Below are 16,927 nucleotides of genomic sequence, written 5' to 3' on the forward strand. Positions count from 1 at the left end.
GCCCAGGCTGGAGTGCAGTGGCACGATCTCAGCTGACTGCAAGCTCCGCCTCCCGGGTTCGTGCCATTCTACTGCCTCCACCTCCCGAGTAGCTGGGACTACAGGCACCTGCCACCATGCCTGGCTAATATTTTTGTATTTTTAGTAGAGATGGGGTTTCACCGTGTTAGCCAGGATGGTCTCGATCTCCTGACCTCGTGATCCACCCGCCTTGGCCTCCCAAAGTGCTGGGATTACAGGTGTGAGCCACCGTGCCCGGCCCTAAAAACTGATGATTTTTAAGATCTTGGTGTGTTCCCTGCCAGCAGTGGCGGGGGTGGTGGTGATGGGGAGGAGGCTCATTCTGCACTTTCTGGTTCTCGTGGCTATCTCCTCCCCTCACCTCCTTGCTCTGCCATGCCCTGCTCCAAAGAGACACCTGTCATTTCCCCCGGCAAGTGGGTCTGGCTTGCACAGGAGGGTGGGGTGGGGCATGTAGCTCCACCTTGCCTGGTTCTGGACTCAACCTGGGAGCTGGGAGTCCACACAGGCCGAGGGCTATGACCTATACAGTGCATATGATTATACAGTACCACCTATGGAAGAAGCTATCAGACATTCAGATAGCTGCTCCTTCTGGGTATTATGGAAGAGTAGCTCTACATTTTGGCTTGGCTGCAACACTTAGGAGCTGGGTATCTTAGATGAAGGTTATAGGAGAAACATTGGTGTTTTGTCAAAGAAAAGTTTGAAGTCAAAACTTCAAGGTGATCGAATTGCACAGCTTATTTGTGAATGAATTTTTTATCCAGCAATAGAACTCCAAGTTCTGAATAACAGTGCTGAAGAGGGTTCCGTAAGTTTTGGTTGCACTGGAAAGAAAATTTATGCCAAGAATAGAAATTAAGAAATCATACCTTTTTTTTTTTTACAAATAAGATGTTTTCTTTTAAAAAAAAAAACAACAAAAACAAAATCAAAAACAACAACAACAACAACAACAAAAAACTGATGGTGGCTGGGCATGGTGGCTCATGCCTGTAATCCCAGCACTTTGGGAGCCTGAGGTGGGAGGATCACTTGAGCTCAGGAGTTCAAGACCAACCTGGGCAACAGAGACTTCATCTTTACTAAAAAACAAACAAACAAACAACCAAAACCCAGCTGAGTGTGGTAGTGTGTGCCTGTAGTTCTGAGAAGTTGAGGTGGGAAGATTGCTTGAGCCCAGGAGATCAAGGCTGCAGTGAGTTGTGATCATGCTACTGCACTCCAGCCTGGGTAACAGAGTAAGATTCTGTCTCAAAAAACAAAAACAAGGCCTTGTGTGGTGGGTCACGCCTGTAATCCCAGCACTTTGGGAGGCTGAGGCAGGTAGATCTCTTGAGGCCAGGAGTTCAAGACCAGCTTGGCCAAAATGGCAAAACCCCGTCTCTACTAAAAGTTCAAAAATTAGCCAGGAGTGGTGGCACATGCCTGTAATCCCAGCTACTGGGGAGGCTGAGGCACGAGAATAGCTTGAACCTGGGAGGTGGAGGTTGCAGTGAGCCAAGATCATACCACTGCACTCCAGCCTGGGTGACAGAGTGAGACTCTGTCACAAAACAACAACAACAACAACAACAAACCAAACCAAAACCAACAACAACAAAAAACTAACAACATAAAAAAGTGATTTTTTTTAGGTATTTGATATATTTCTATCTACTGTAGTCACTATTTTTGATGCTCAAATTGTTTCATCTTCAGCCAGTGAGAGATCCCTCAAAATTGGCTCCTATGTCATTCTGGTACGATTCCAGTAATTTTTTTTTTTTATTGCTTTCAGGCATTACAAAGTATTCCAGGCTTGTCTTGATCGTTTCTGCTTCAGTGTTACAATCCGCCATCTCTCCTGAGTCCTAATATTTAGAGACCACACTCAGGGATGGACATTAATTGCTACTGGATTGTGATTGCTTCTAGGCCTGTTTAAAGTGTCCAGAGTTAGGATTTTTTTTTTCTTTAAACAAAACAAAACAAAACAAAAAACTCTGTCCCAAGTTTCTATTGATATTTGCAATTCAAAGTAAAGACTATCAGGGTTTCAGGTCAAGTGGGTGGCTCACGCCTGTAATCCCAGTACTTTGGAAGGCTGAGGCAGGTGGATCACCTGAGATCAGGAGTTCGAGACCAGCCTGGCCAACATGGTGAAACCCTGTCTCTACTAAAAATACAAAAAATTAGCTAAGTGTGCTGGTACATGCCTGTAATCCCAGCTACTCGGGAGGCTGAGGCAGGAGAATTGCTTGAACTCGGGAGGCAGAGGTTGCAGTGAGCCAAGACTGTGCTACTGCACTCCAGCCTGGGCGACAGAGCAAGACTTTGTCTCAAAAAAAACAATTTAGGGTAATTTGACTTCTTTATTTCACACTTGTATCTTCTTTCTCTTAGGTTGAAAATATTATTACCTAATGACATTCACATAATTACTTATTTGCATTATTCTACAGTATTATTACTAAAATTAAGTGCAGAATACAGTTTAATCATCTTCAACATGCAATGTGCTAAATTCTAAAAAAGCTTAATTTAACATACATTTTTACTCTGTCAGAATTTTTAAGTTTTTGGTTAAAATAACTTGAATACTAAATTTCTTTTAAAAATGTAGCTATATTTGGCCAGGCGCGGTGGCTCATGCCTGTAATCCCAGCACTTTGGGAGGCAGAGACGGGTGGATCACCTAAAGTCAGGAGTTCAGGACCAGCTTGGCCAACATGGCGAAACCCAGTGTCTGCTAAAAATACAAAGAACAGGCTGGGTGCGGTGGCTCACATCTGTAATCCCAGCACTCTGGGAGGCTGAGGCGGGCTGATCACCTGAGGTCAGGAGTTCAAGACCTGGCCAACATGGTGAAACCCCATCTCTACTAAAATACAAAAATTTAGCTGGGCATGGTGGGGCACACCTGTAGCCCCAACTACTTGGGAGGCTGAGGCAGAAGAATCGCTGGAACCTGGGAGATGGGGGTTGCAGTGAGCCAAGATCACGCTATTGCATTCCAGCCTGGGCAACAGAGCAAGACTCTGTCTCAAAAAAAAAAAAAAAAAAAAAAAAAAAATATATATATATATATATATATATTTGAGATGGCACAGTTTTGCTACAATTACTCTGTAATTTTTTTGCCAAAATTCCTCCAATACCTTTAGAAGTATCCCAAAACACAGTAAGTACTCAACTTACTTGATTATGAAGTGATGGAAGTATTGTTAAATATGTTCCTTCCTGTTAGCACAATGAATATAGTGTGACTGATAATGAAATGCGTCACATATAAAAAGTTTATCTGATTACTAATAGGACATGCAGAGACAAAACTACTTTTACCATGGTACTTAACATATATTTTAATTTACTCACAGCAATAAGCAAAATTGTTTATCATCAAGTTTAAAAGGCCATTAGAATATAGCAAATCTTGTTAGATGTTAGAAAAGCCAAAACCCACCTATCAATCACACACTATATCTTATTCATCTACATTATCTACAATATAAAACAATACTACTAGCATATATGAAAGTATGCAAATATTTCCTTTAGGATATTCCAAATTAATCAATCAATTACACATCATTCATGAAACCATTTAAAAAGAAGTTCTAAAAAACTGAAATGAATTGGGACTAAAAGCAATTTAGATTCAGGTTGGGACAATAGCACTTGTAAAAGTGCTCCCTTGGATAAGCAACTAATCATGGGGGTTGAGGGTTCAATTTACCCATCTTTAAAATGGGGAGATTGGTCTAGTATTAGAATCCTAAACTAGTAGTAATGCCCTAAGTTAGATTTTGTTTAGCGCAGGCAATGTCTTAAAAGCATCCAAATTAGCTGGTAAAATTTAAGATACTTGACAATTTGAACATAAAATCTGAGGGAAAAAATCGATTTTTCAAGTCTGGGTAAGCTTCTGCACATCAGTAACAGGTCAGAGATAAAAGCAACTGAATATGCTCTTGTGATAGGACATTCAGCCACATTCCCCACCATAGCCCTCCTCTTACTAGTGGCTTAACATCACTGACCCGCAGACATTTGTTTCTATCATGAGTTAAATCTTCTGTAACCAAGATTTTTAAACCATGCTTTACAACACACTGACACTCGGAGCAGGTTTACTTTTTTTTTGAGAGGGAGTTTCGCTCTGTCACCCAGGCTGGAGTGCAGTGGCATAATCTCAGCTCACTGCAACCTCCGCCTCCCGGGTTCAAGTGATTCTCCTGATTCTCCTGCCTCAGCCTTCCACGGAGCTGGGATTATTAGGTTTGCACCACCACACCCGGCTAATTTTTTTTTTTTTTTAGTAGAGACAGGATTTCACCATGTTGGCCAGGCTGGTCTCAAACTCTTGACCTCAAGTGATCTGCCTGCCTTGGCCTCCCAAAGTGCCAGGAATACAGGTATGAGCCACTGCAACCATCCACATTTTTTATTTTTGTACTATATACTGGGGTTCTACTACCAAAAAAAGGAACTACTAGCTTATAAAGTTTCTTTCACCATTTAACATTCTATCTCTCACACATCAATACCACTCAGGAAATAGGAAGAAACGTTGAAGTGCCATCAAGCAAGTTTTACCTGTGAATCTGATCTTGCCTGCTTGACCGTACTGGAGCCAGACCATCAATTTCGTCAAAAAAAATAATTGATGGGCGCATCTGATAGGCCTAGAAAGTAGGTGGAGTGGTCATTTGTTAGCATAAACAGCCTCAAACACGTAGACTTAATATAAACCATTTTAATAAATTCTCATTCAAATATGCTTAACAGAATTTATAAAGCTGAATATATACTATTTGAATCGGTTTTTCTTCAAACTTACTTACCAGAATTTATATATAATTTTTTTTTTTTTTTGAGATGGAGTCTCACTGTCACCCAGGCTGGAGTGCAGTGGCGTGATCTTGGCTCAGTGCAACCTCTGCCTCCTGGGTTCAAGTGATTTTCCTGCCTCAGTCTCAATTTATTTATAATTTATAACTATTTATAATTTATAAATTTAAACATAAGTTCTAGTAACGGGGTTTTAAGAATTCAAACTAAATTATAATGATATATGGTTTAATTTTCAATTGCATTTTCAACCAGAAGTATTCAAAAGATATACTCCACTGGTTATATACCTTAGATTTCACATAGCTATCGTTCCTGGACACGCAAAAATATTTATTGAACTATGGAAACAAGACAAAGAATAGAAGACAGTGACATAGTCTTCCTCCAAGTCAGGATGGGAAAACATTATTTAGCAAGATGCCACAGTTTTTATCCATTTCCATAAACATAAAAGTAAAAAAGAACCTCGGGAGAGTTCCAAAAAGAGATTTAAAAGCATTTGCAGCAATATGCCTCAGTAGATCAGAAAGTATTATCTTACAATGTGCTGTCAATACAATCTGGGATATGAAAATGAAAGCCGCTCCAGGGCAGAAATAGTCTTTAACTCCCATACTGAGCCATAATTCACTACTACTATCTCTCTAAATATGAGATTACCACTCTCTTCCTATATGCATGAGACCTAAGACTCCAAACAACTAAGATCCAATTATTTCTTTCCCTTCTTACTATAAAACTGTTCACTGTAGGTCAGTGTCATCTCGACATATAAAAGAAAATAATCTAGAAAGAAATAGTCTAATTCTTCTGGGTTTATTTAGAACACTGATTAAATGTAAGATTTATCTAATCCTCACACACATCTGCCTAGATTACAGAACTATCCAGATATATAAAATGTTAATATCATACCTGATCAAACAGCAATCGTAGCTGTCTTTCAGATTCTCCTACCCATTTACTTAGACAATCAGCACCTTTCCTCATGAAAAATGCTACTCTTTTATCCCCTTGACTGCACTCATTGGCAAGTGCTCTGGCAACCAGAGTCTTTCCAGTTCCAGGTGGCCCATAAAACAAACAACCTCTGTAAAACAATACATTAACATTTTAGTATTACATTTAAAAAGCAGACTTTTAAAACAAAAATTAGAAACCAATTTCATGATTCATTTAATTAGAAAATTAAAATGTGTAAGACAACTGAATTATGGTACAGTTTCGCACCACAAAGCACAACTTAAAACCTGGGAGTTAATACTGATACTGTAAAATTAATATTGAAACTGTAAATAAAACTCTATTTGAAACATTTTAACAATTCATTCATCATGTTCATCATATTATCTTACCTTGCATATGTAATCACATATCACAATCATATAATTCAATTTGTATGGGGGAAAACGTATATTGTAAGGAAGAAGAAATGTGAAAGAAAATTCAAGAAATTTGTTTTTAATTTACTAAATTACTTTAACTAGGCACTTCCAACATTTCCTGTAAGAAGTAAATGTTATTTAATATTAATAACTTTCTGACTTATTTTTAAAGATGGGGTCTCACTGTCAGCTAGGCTGGAGCGCAGTGGCATGATCATAGCTCACTACAACCTCAAATTCCTGAGCTAAAGCAATCTTCCTGTCTTAGTCTCCCAAGTCACTGGAATCACAGGTGTGAGCCACCATGCCTGGCACTTTCTATTTTTTTTTTGAGACAGAGTCTTGCTGTGTCGCCCAGGCTGGACTGCAGTGGTGCGATCTCGGCTCACTGCAACCTCCGCATCCCAGGTTCAAGCAATTCTCCTGCCTCAGCCTCCCGAGTAGCTGGGACAACAGGTGCCCGCCACCATGCCTGGCTAATTTTTTGGGTATTTTTAGTAAAGACAGGGTTTCACTATGTTGGCCAGGCTAGTCTTGAACTCCGGACCTTGTGATCCACCTACCTTGACCTCTCAAAGTGCTGGGATTACAGGCATAAGCCATCGTGCCTGGCCACTTTCTAATTTTTTAAATTACAAAATTTAATTTAAAACCCACCAGTGTTTACCTGTGATTGATATATGGTACATTACTTTTTTTTTTTTTTTTTTTTTTTTTGGAGATGGTGTCTTGCTCTGTCGCCCAGGCTGGAATGCGGTGGCCCAATCTCAGCTCACTGCAACTTCCGCCTCCTGGGTTCAAGCAATTGTGCCTCAGCGCACGCCGCCAGGCCTGGCTAATTTTTTGTATTTTAGTAGAGACGGGGTTTCACCACGTTGCCCAGGCTGGTCTCAAACTCCTGAGCTCAGGTAATCCACCCGCCTTGGCCCCCCAAAGTGCTGGGATTACAGGCATGAGCCACTGTGCCTGGCCCAGTATATTACTTTTATGATGGGGGGAAAGCTTACTAATTTTTAAAAGTTTATTTAAATTACTGCTTCTATAAAGGTGATTCAGAGAGAAAAGTTGTATAATGAAAAGGGAAAAGGGAACTATCACTTAAAAATGGGTTAATAAGCAAGGTATAAGAACTACAAGAAGCAAGAATAGCAAAGATTTTCAGCTAAAATTAAAAATATAATTAAATTACCTTGGGGGTTGAATTTTAAATTTTTCAAAGACTTCTGGATAAAGTAATGGAAACACCACCATCTCTTTTAGAGCTGCTATATGATTAGACAGGCCACCAACACTATCAAATCGTACCTGGTAATGGAAGCGAACATGTACATTTTTAGATTTGGAGTCCAGATTAAAATGTCACCCCACACCATACACAGTCAATGAAGTAATAATATCTTAATTGTGACCTGAAGATTAACAGAAAACGTCTGTAAAGGTTAGAGTTTTGACTAAAAAGAAAAATCATTGGTTCCTTTTTTTAACTTTAAAACTAAAACAAAGCACATTATAGTTCAAGCATATGTTTCAAAACAGAGTACTCACTGAAGAATCTAGTTGCATTGGATCAACATCGGCAAGGCTTGCTCCAATTTTCATTCGATCTTTATAAATGCCTTTTAATTCATCTTTCCGAAAATTTAGTGGGAGGCACCTATTTAAAAAGATTTTTTAAAACCACACAAACCCATCAACTCACCCTCCTTCCCAAATTCCATGTTTGAATATAAACATTTAAGTTAAAAAAAAAATCTAAATTTCAACCGGAGCAATCTTAAGATATGTATTTTAATTTCCTCATTTTCTGTAATAGGTCCAGAACTTAAGTGTTAGAAATATTTATATCTGAAGCTTTATTATGAAATTAAAGACATATAATCAAATAAAAATACCAAGATGCCACAGGCACCATAAAGTGATTCACGGTGGTGAAATCAGACAGTACTAACCTACATTTTAATGGAGGTGTCTAACACAGACAGGGTATTTACCATTTGCCAGACACTGTTTTAGTTTTAGGTGCTTTACGTGGATTAAGTTGATAAATCCTCACAACAGTCTTATGAGGAAGGTATTATTATTTTCCCCATTTTAAAACAAAACCAAGACATAGAAAGATTAACTGATTTGTCCAAGATCACCCAACTAGTAAATGGCAGGGCCAGGAATCAAACACAAGTGGTCTGTCTCCAGAGCTATAACAATTCTGCTATGATATCTCCCAGAAAAAATATTCGCAGTCTACCAGCATTTGGATCCAAGATCAATCCTCTCAAGCAAGTTCCCTAACTACTTCCTTTTTTGTTGTTTTGTTTTGTCTTTTGGGTTTTTTCTGAGTCTCACCCTGTCGCCCAGGCTGGAGTGCAGTGGTGTGATCTCGGCTCGCTGCAATCTTCGCCTCCTGGGTTCAAGCTATTCTCCTGCCTCAGCCTCCTGAGTAGCTGGGATTACTGGTGTGCACCACCAACATCTGGCTAATTTTTGTACTTTTAGTCGAGACGGGGTTTCACCATGCTGGACAGGCTGGAAGTTCCCTAACTACTTTCAAAAATATTCAGAAATAGTTATGGCCAGGTGTGGTGGCTCATGCCGGTAATCCCAGCTGAGTCACTTGAGGTCAGGAGTTCGAGACCAGCCTAGCTTCTACTCTAGTCTCAGTGACATAGTGAGAACCTGTCTCTATTAAAAGAAAAAAAAAAGAATCCAAGCACCTAAGCACTGCATTTTCACTTACTCAACCAGATCTGTAAAATGTAAATAATCCTTGCTCTATCTCCCTTAAATATTTATTGGGAAAATCAAATAAGCTGGTTAGTATACATGGACTTACACTACAAGGAGTTATAAAATGAGTAAAGCCTTCCGTTTTCCTTAAGAGTTCCTCAGAACTTATCATTATTATAAGCAAAAAAAAAAAAAAAATACATGAAAAGAAAAGGTTATTTCCTTAAGTCACTGTTTGACCAGAACCACTGTGGGCCATATATAATGATTTGGCAAGCGGGCCAGGCATGGTGGCTCACAGCTGTAATTCCATAGCTTTGGGAGGCTGAGGCGGGTGGATAACTTGAGGCCAGTAGTTCAAGACCAGCCTGGCCAACATGGCGAAACCTCATCTCTATTAAAACTACAAAAATGAGCCAGGTGTGGTGATGCACACCTGTAACCCCAGCTACTCAGGAGGCTGAGGCAGGAGAGTCGTGTGAACCCGGGAGGTGGTGGTTGCAGTGAGCCAAGATCACGCCACTGTACTCCAGCCTGGGCAACAGAACCAGGCCCTGTCTCAAAAAAAAAAAAAAAAAGTCAAGAAATCAGTCATATGTTCTAACCTGTTATTCTGATTCAACTGTAGATAATTCTAACAAGACAGCATTCTAGTTTATACATTAACCTGTTGTGCAACTTTTTAATCAGCCAGCCTATACTTATACCCAAATTATTCTGTTTTCTTAGCAATTTTTACAAAATGTGTCTGCTAGTTTAAAAAGGCATCAATATGGCACTTACCTATTGATAGCCCTATTACGACTCCTTTTCCTCCGCCTCTCAAAGTGCTGTTCATCTTCAGAGGAGGAAGATGAAGTCGAGTCACTACTGTGGATTGCATGCCTTCGCCTAAAGTAAAAAACAAAATTGAAATCATGATAAGGAAGGGCAGGAAAAAGAAAAGGCATAAGAAAAGCATCAGAAATACCTAATGCTCCAAAAAGTTTATCATAAAATTAATACATCTGCTGACCCACTGACATAAACTTTGTTCGCTGAATCTTTCAAATGGAATAAAAGACTTAAACAACTGAGAGGAAAGGAAAAAAGACTAAAGACTGTGGCAGAGCTGAATATCAAATGTTCATGGAGACAGGAGAAGGCAGGGTGACTTCTTAGTCTTGATATAAATCAGTTATTCTCAAAGAGAAAGGTGGGATTAAGAGGGTATTAGAATATTTGGGGCTGGGTGTGGTGGCTCACACCTGTAATCCCAACACTTTAGGAGACCGAGGGGGAAGGATCACTTGACAGGTGTTCAAGCACAACGTAGCGGGACATTGTCTCCACTAAAAATCATTCGAGCAACTTGGCAAGATTTGGTCTCTACTAAAAATCAAAAAGCTTAGACAGGTATGGTTGTAGCACATCTGTTGTCCCAGATACTCAGGAGGCTGAGGTGAGAGATTTGCTTGAGCCTGGGAGGACGAGGCTGTAGTGAGCCATGATTGCACCACTGCACTGCAGCCTGCTGGGTGACAAAGTAAGCCCCTGCCTCTATCTAAAAAAAAAAAAAAAAAAGTATTTGGGACTGTAATTTGAAACTATTTTCAATATTACACTATACATAATATTCACATTTGGGAGGAAATCACCTACTTTAAAAAATCAAATAACTTTTTTTTTTTTTTGAGACTTCGTCTCGCTCTATAGCCCAGGTTGGAGTGCAGTGGGATGATCTCAGCTCACTGCAACCTCTGCCTCCTGGGTTCCAGTTGAGCAATTCTCCTGCCTCAGCCTCCCGAGCAGCTGGGATTACAGGTATGAGCCATTGTGCCCAGTTAACTTTTTTTTTTTTTCGATAGAGATGGGGTTTCACCATGTTGGCCAGGCTGGTCTTGAACTCCTGACCTTGTGATCCGCCCGCCTCAGCCTCCCAAAGTGCTGGGATTAAGGTGTGAGTCATCACGCCCGGCCAAAAATATCAAACAATTTTAAAAGAAGGACATGAGATTTTATGTAAACAAAAGGGCATCAAGAAAGACTTTTTAAATGCTGGGAAACAGTGATGAATAAGATGGCCTTTTATCAACAGTATACCATCCACTGTAAATTCACAACTGTCACTTAACAGCTGTGTAAATGTGGATGAGTTACTCAACCCATAAGTTTTCTTGCTCACAAAAAAGAAAAAAATACTATCAAATACTTAGGCTGGTTGGTACTATTAAATAAGATGCCAGATATTACAAATATACAAGAAAATTTTTAATCACTTCTACCTTTGAATGGTTGCAAAAGACTCACAGAAAAAACAAAGAGTCTGGTTGGGAAGAACTTTAATTATTCTACTTGCTCAGGGTCTAGAACTTTTCTGAGTCAGAGTGCAATGATGGTAAGTAAGTATTTCCAAAAATACAAAAGGTTCACAATCTATTATCTGCATAATGTAGTTCCAGAAACGTGTATCAAAAAAACTCGGAAGTTATTCCATTATTCACTTGCAGCAAATCATAACCTGACATAGTACAAGGCAATTTTTAGTTTCTATTTTGTCCCACTTACTATGATTATTCATATGTTTTACTACAGAATTATTAATTAATGTATTTGACCACACAGTGCTGGCTTGGAGACCCTAGAGATGTTAATGTTGCCACACTACATATGTTGTGTGTTATCTGTAAATCCAGCCAAAAAGTCTGAATTCTGAAACACAAATGGTTTTCCAAGGGTTTTGGATAAGGGGTTGTGGAAACACAGAAATAAATGAGAAAATAATCTTTCACCCATCCACCTACCCAAATACACCAAGACCATCTTTGTGATCAGCCTGAAACTAAAATTATTATATCCAGTACAAGTCTGCAACTTTATATGAAAAACTAACTTATTCATTATTACCATGAATATTAGACTTTAATGTATTCACATAATTTTATGTGAACTCACTATGTAGTCACAGAATTCAGACTAACCTCCCAATTAATAAAAAAGACTAACATTAACTGACTGCTTTCTGTACCATGTACTTGATATAGTATTTAATCTTAATTAAAATTTTGGAAAAGTGGATTATTAGTAGGCTCAATTTACAGTTAGGGCCAGTGTGGCTTCCAGGTTAAATAATTTACTCAAAATATCAGAATCTGTCATTGATAGTGTCAGAATTCAAACCTATATGTTTATTCAAAAAATCTGCATTCTATACATTACTATACTGATGATTTCCAGTTTTTTAATTTCATAAACCAATAAAGTTAAAAGCAAACAATAACACAACCTGTGGACCAACATGAAATTTCTGACATTTGATTTGCAAAATGGAGATTATTTTTAAACATCGAAGTACAGTTATAATAGCAAATACATACCGCACTTAATGTATGGCAGACACTATTTTAAATGCTTTACATGTATTAACTCATCTAATTCTCACAATACTATGAGATAGGTCCTACTATCCTCACTTTACAGATAAAAAAAAAACTGAAACAGAGTTAAGTAACTTGCCAAAGGCCGCTAATAACTAGTAGAGCTGAGCTCCAAGCCTAGACAGTCCTAGTCATGGGCCCAGGTTCTTAGCAATTACTCTATACTGTAGAAAGGTCATTACTTCAGTTTAAAAACATTGTAAACACTATTCCACAAGGTAGAGAAAGAGGGAATCCTCCCCAAATCATTCTATGAAGTCAGTATCACCCTAATACCAAAACTAGGAAAGGACATAACCAAAAAAGAAAACTATAGACCAACATCCCTGCGAACATAGATGCTAAAATCCTTAACAAAATACTAGCTAATCGAATCCAACAACGTATCAAAAAAGATAATCTACTATGATCAAGGAGGTTTCATACCAGGGATGCAGGGATGGTTTAACATACTCAAGTCAATAAATGTGATACACCACATAAACAGAATTAAAAACAAAAATCACATGATCATCTCAACAGATGCAGAAAAGGCATTCAACAAAATCCAGCATCCCTTTATGATTAAAGCTCTCAGCAAAGTCAGCATACAAAGAACACACTTCAATGTAATAAAAGCCATCTATGACAAATCCACAGCCAACGTAATACTGAATGGGGAAAGGTTAAAAGCATTCCCTCTGAGAACTGGAACTAGACAAGGATGCCCACTCTCACCACTTCTATTCAACATAGTACTGGAAGTCCTAGCCACAGCAATCAGACAAGAGAAAAAAATAAAAGGGTATCCAAATCAGTAAAAAGGAAGTCAAACTGTCTGTCTGCTGATTATATGATTGTGCACCTAGAAAACCCCAAAGACTACTGCAAAAAACTCCTAGAACTGACAAAAAAATCCAGCAAAGTTTCAGGATACAAAATCAATGTACACAAATCAGCAGTAGGTCTACTATATACCAACAGTGGCCAAGCTAAGAATGAAATCAAGAACTCAACCCCTTTTACAATAGCTGCAAAATAAAATAAAATACTTAGGAATATACCTAACCAAAGAGGCAAAAGACCTCTACAAGGAAAACTACAAAACACTGCTGAAAGAAATAACAGATGACACAAATAAATGGAAGCACATCCCATGCTCATGGATGGGTAGAATGAAAATTGTGGAAACGACCATATTGCCAAAAGCAATCTACAAATTCAACATAATTCCCATCAAAATACCAGCTATCATTCTTCACAGAACTAGAAAAAACAATCCTAAAATTCATATGGAACCAAAAAAGCCTGCATAGCCAAAGCAAGTCTAAGCAAAAAGAACAAATCTGGAAGCATTACGTTACCTGATTTCAAACTACGCTATAAGGCCATAGTCACCAAAACAGCACAGTACTAGTATAAAAACAGGCACACAGACAAATGGAACAGAATAGAGAACTCAGAAATAAAATCAAATAACTGATCTTCAACAAAGCAAACAGAAACATAAAGTGGGGAAAGGACACCCTATTCATCAGATGGTGCTGGGATAATTGGGTAGCCACATGTAGGAGAATGAAACTGGTTCCTCATCTCTCACCTGATACAAAAATCAACTCAAGATGGATCGAGGACTTAAATCTAAGACCTGAAACTATATAAAAATTCTAGAAGATAACATCAGGAAAACCCTTCTAGACATTGGCTTAGGCAAGGGTTTCATGACCAAGAACCCAAAAGCAAAAACAATAAAAGCAAAGATAAACAGGTGGGACTTAATTAAACCAAAGAGCTTTTGAACAGCAAAAGGAAGAATCAGCAGAGTAAAAAGGCAACCCACAGTATGGGAGAAAATCTTCACAATCTATACATCTGGCAAAAGACTAATATCTAGCATCTACAACGAACTCAAACAAATTAGCAAGAAAAAAACAATCCCATCAAAAAGTGGGCTATGGACATGAACAGACAATTCTTAAAAGAAGATATACAAATAGCCAACAAACATATGAAAAAATGCTCAACATCACTAATGATCAGGGAAATGCAAATCAAAACCACAATGTGATACCACCTTACCCCCGCAAAAATGGCTATAATCAAAAAATCAAAAAATAATAGATGTTGGTGTGTATATAGTGACCACTTCTACACTGCTGGTGGAAAAGTAAACTAGTACAACCACTATACAAAACAGTGTGGAGATTCCCTAAAGAGTTAAAAGTAGAACTACCATTTGATCCAGCAATCCCACTACTGGGTATCTACCCAGAGGAAAATAACTTATTATATGAAACAGATACTTCCACACGTATGTTTATAGCAGCACAATTCGCAATTGCAAAAATGTGGAACCAACCCAAATGTCCATCAATTGAGTGGACTACTACTCAGCCATCAAAAGGAATGAATTAATGGCATTTGCAACTACTTGGATGAGATTGGAGACTTACTCTAAGTGAAGTAACTCAGGAATGAAAAACCAAACATCGTATGTTCCATGTGTTCTCACTAATAAGTGGGAGCTAAGCTATGAAGATGCAAAGGCATAAGAATGACACAATGAACTGTGGGAACTCAGGGGGAAAGAGTGGGAAGGGAGTGAGGGATAAAAGACAACAAGTTGTGTTCAATGTATACTGCTTGGGTGATGGGTTCACCAAAATCTCACAAATCACTACTGAAGAACTTACTCATGTAACCAAATACCACCTGCTCCCCAAAAACCTACGGAAATAAAAAATTTAAAAAAAAAAGAGGAAAAGAGGGGCTGAGGCAAGTCAGTATAATCCATTTTCATAGGAAAATGTTTCCTAAATTTGAAAAACAAAAACCAAAAATAAAATAAAATAAATAAAAAACATTTAAACACACATATCTGTCTACATGTGCTCATCCCCCAATCTCCATTTTACTGAAAGCCAATTAAAAATCTGACACCCACAAACACTGGACCAGCACTTTGAATCTAACCAATAACTCGGCCGGGTGCAGTGGCTCATGCCTGCAATCCCACCACTTGGGAGGCCAAGGTGGGTGGATCACCTGAGGTCAGGAATTTGAGACCAGCCTGGCCTATATGGTGAAAACCCCGTCTCTACTAAAAATACAAAAAAATTAGCGGGGCATGGTGGCAGACGCCTGTGATCCCAGCTACTCGGGGGGCTGAGGCAGAAGAATCGCTTGAACCCAGGAAGCGGAGGTTGCAGTGAGCCGAGATCGCGCCACTGCACTCCAGCCTGGGCGAGAGAGTGAGATTTCCTCTTAAACAAAACAAAACGGGAGAAGAAATAAGATCCCAAAGTAGCTGCCACCCTCTTAGTACTGCTGGATCAAACAGAGATCCACCCCTTGAGTTAGGTAACCATAACAGTGCCTTGGTCCTGTGCCTGGTGGTGGTGGGGATTCTAGGGAACACTATACCTTCCTCTCCTTTTCTGAAGATCATTACATTTCACCACCAAAATAGAGGTCTTTACATTCTAAGGGGCCTGTGAGAATACTGATGTGCAGCCTCCTTTCAAGTGCAATTAATCTTGAAAAGCCCTGAGAGACTGAGTTTGTCTTCCCGATCCTCCATCCTTCTGGACCCTGGTCATGTGAAATAGGATGATGAAATAAGAAATCTAGATGTACACTTGTGATTCCTACAATGAAATGAAAAGACCTAGGGACACAAATAGTATTTTTTATTTTTCCTGAAAGAAATTAACCTTCAGCACTTACAAAGGTGCTGCTTCCATGACCAAAACATGATCAGATGGTCTGTCTCTAGGAGAAAACTTCCAAGAACTGTTCAAATAACTGAAATATCCTAAGGCTTCGGTCTTACTTCTGAGAAAATTCTAATATTAAGGGAAAAAAATTACCATTCCCCATACAAATAAAATTTTTTTCCTGGTTTCTTAGTCTTCTCTCTCATTCATGAACTACCAAAATGATTATTCCAATGCATTGATGAGGAAGTATCAAGAATTATCTCTTTGACCGGGTGTGGTGGCACACACCTGTAATCCCAGCACTTTGGGAAGCTGAGGCGAGTGGATCACTTGAGGTCAAGAGTTTGAGACCAGCCTGGCCAACATGGTGAAAACCCGTCTCTACTAAAAATACAAAAATCAGCTGGGTGTAGTGGCAGGTACCTGTAGTCCCAGCTACTTGGGAGGCTGAAGCAGGAGAATCGCTTGAACCCAGGAGGCAGAGGTTGCAGTAAGCCAAGATCGTGCCACTGCACTCCGGCCTGGGGAACACAGCAAGACTCTGCTCCGCCCCCACCCTCCCCAAAATAAATAAATAAAATAAAAATAGAAGAATTATCTCTTTGGACTTAAATTTGACCAATGAACAACTGTTGGGATGTAGAAGGAAAAGAAATCCACAAATATTGAATAGTCAAAGAAAATAAATGTTTCCTACAACAGAAGAGGAATAAATTATAAAATAGATCCAGAAAAAGATAACCAGAGTCATGAAAGGTCTAGAGGCCATGTAGCTTAGAACATCTGACATGGTAGGAAAATGCATCTGTGATAGTATGCAAAGAAAAGACTAAACCTATATTCT

The 16,927-nt window shown here is 38.9% G+C and overlaps 1 protein-coding gene and 1 pseudogene across 8 annotated transcripts in view; one reads left to right on the forward strand and one right to left on the reverse strand.

Annotated features, from left to right (window-relative positions):
- ATAD2 (ATPase family AAA domain containing 2) overlaps positions 1-16,927 on the reverse strand; it is a 96,501-nt gene that overhangs the window by 31,937 nt on the left and 47,637 nt on the right. For 6 of the 8 annotated variants that reach the window (XM_047421723.1, XM_047421722.1, XM_011516994.4 and 3 more), the window contains 5 exons: positions 9,753-9,860; positions 7,791-7,899; positions 7,435-7,550; positions 5,776-5,950; positions 4,603-4,691 (listed from right to left, as the gene is read on the reverse strand). In XM_047421723.1, coding sequence (XP_047277679.1) covers positions 4,603-4,691; positions 5,776-5,950; positions 7,435-7,550; positions 7,791-7,899; positions 9,753-9,860 — 597 coding nt within the window. Of the gene's footprint in view, positions 1-3,204; positions 3,220-4,602; positions 4,692-5,775; positions 5,951-7,434; positions 7,551-7,790; positions 7,900-9,752; positions 9,861-16,927 lie in introns of those variants that run through there. The other 2 variants (XM_011516996.4, XM_047421724.1) reach the window with 2 other exon arrangements.
- DUTP2 (deoxyuridine triphosphatase pseudogene 2) lies at positions 521-859 on the forward strand (annotated as a pseudogene).

The sequence above is a fragment of the Homo sapiens genome, chromosome 8, assembly GCF_000001405.40.
Source record: "Homo sapiens chromosome 8, GRCh38.p14 Primary Assembly".
In the NCBI taxonomy this organism is placed as follows: domain Eukaryota; kingdom Metazoa; phylum Chordata; class Mammalia; order Primates; family Hominidae; genus Homo; species Homo sapiens.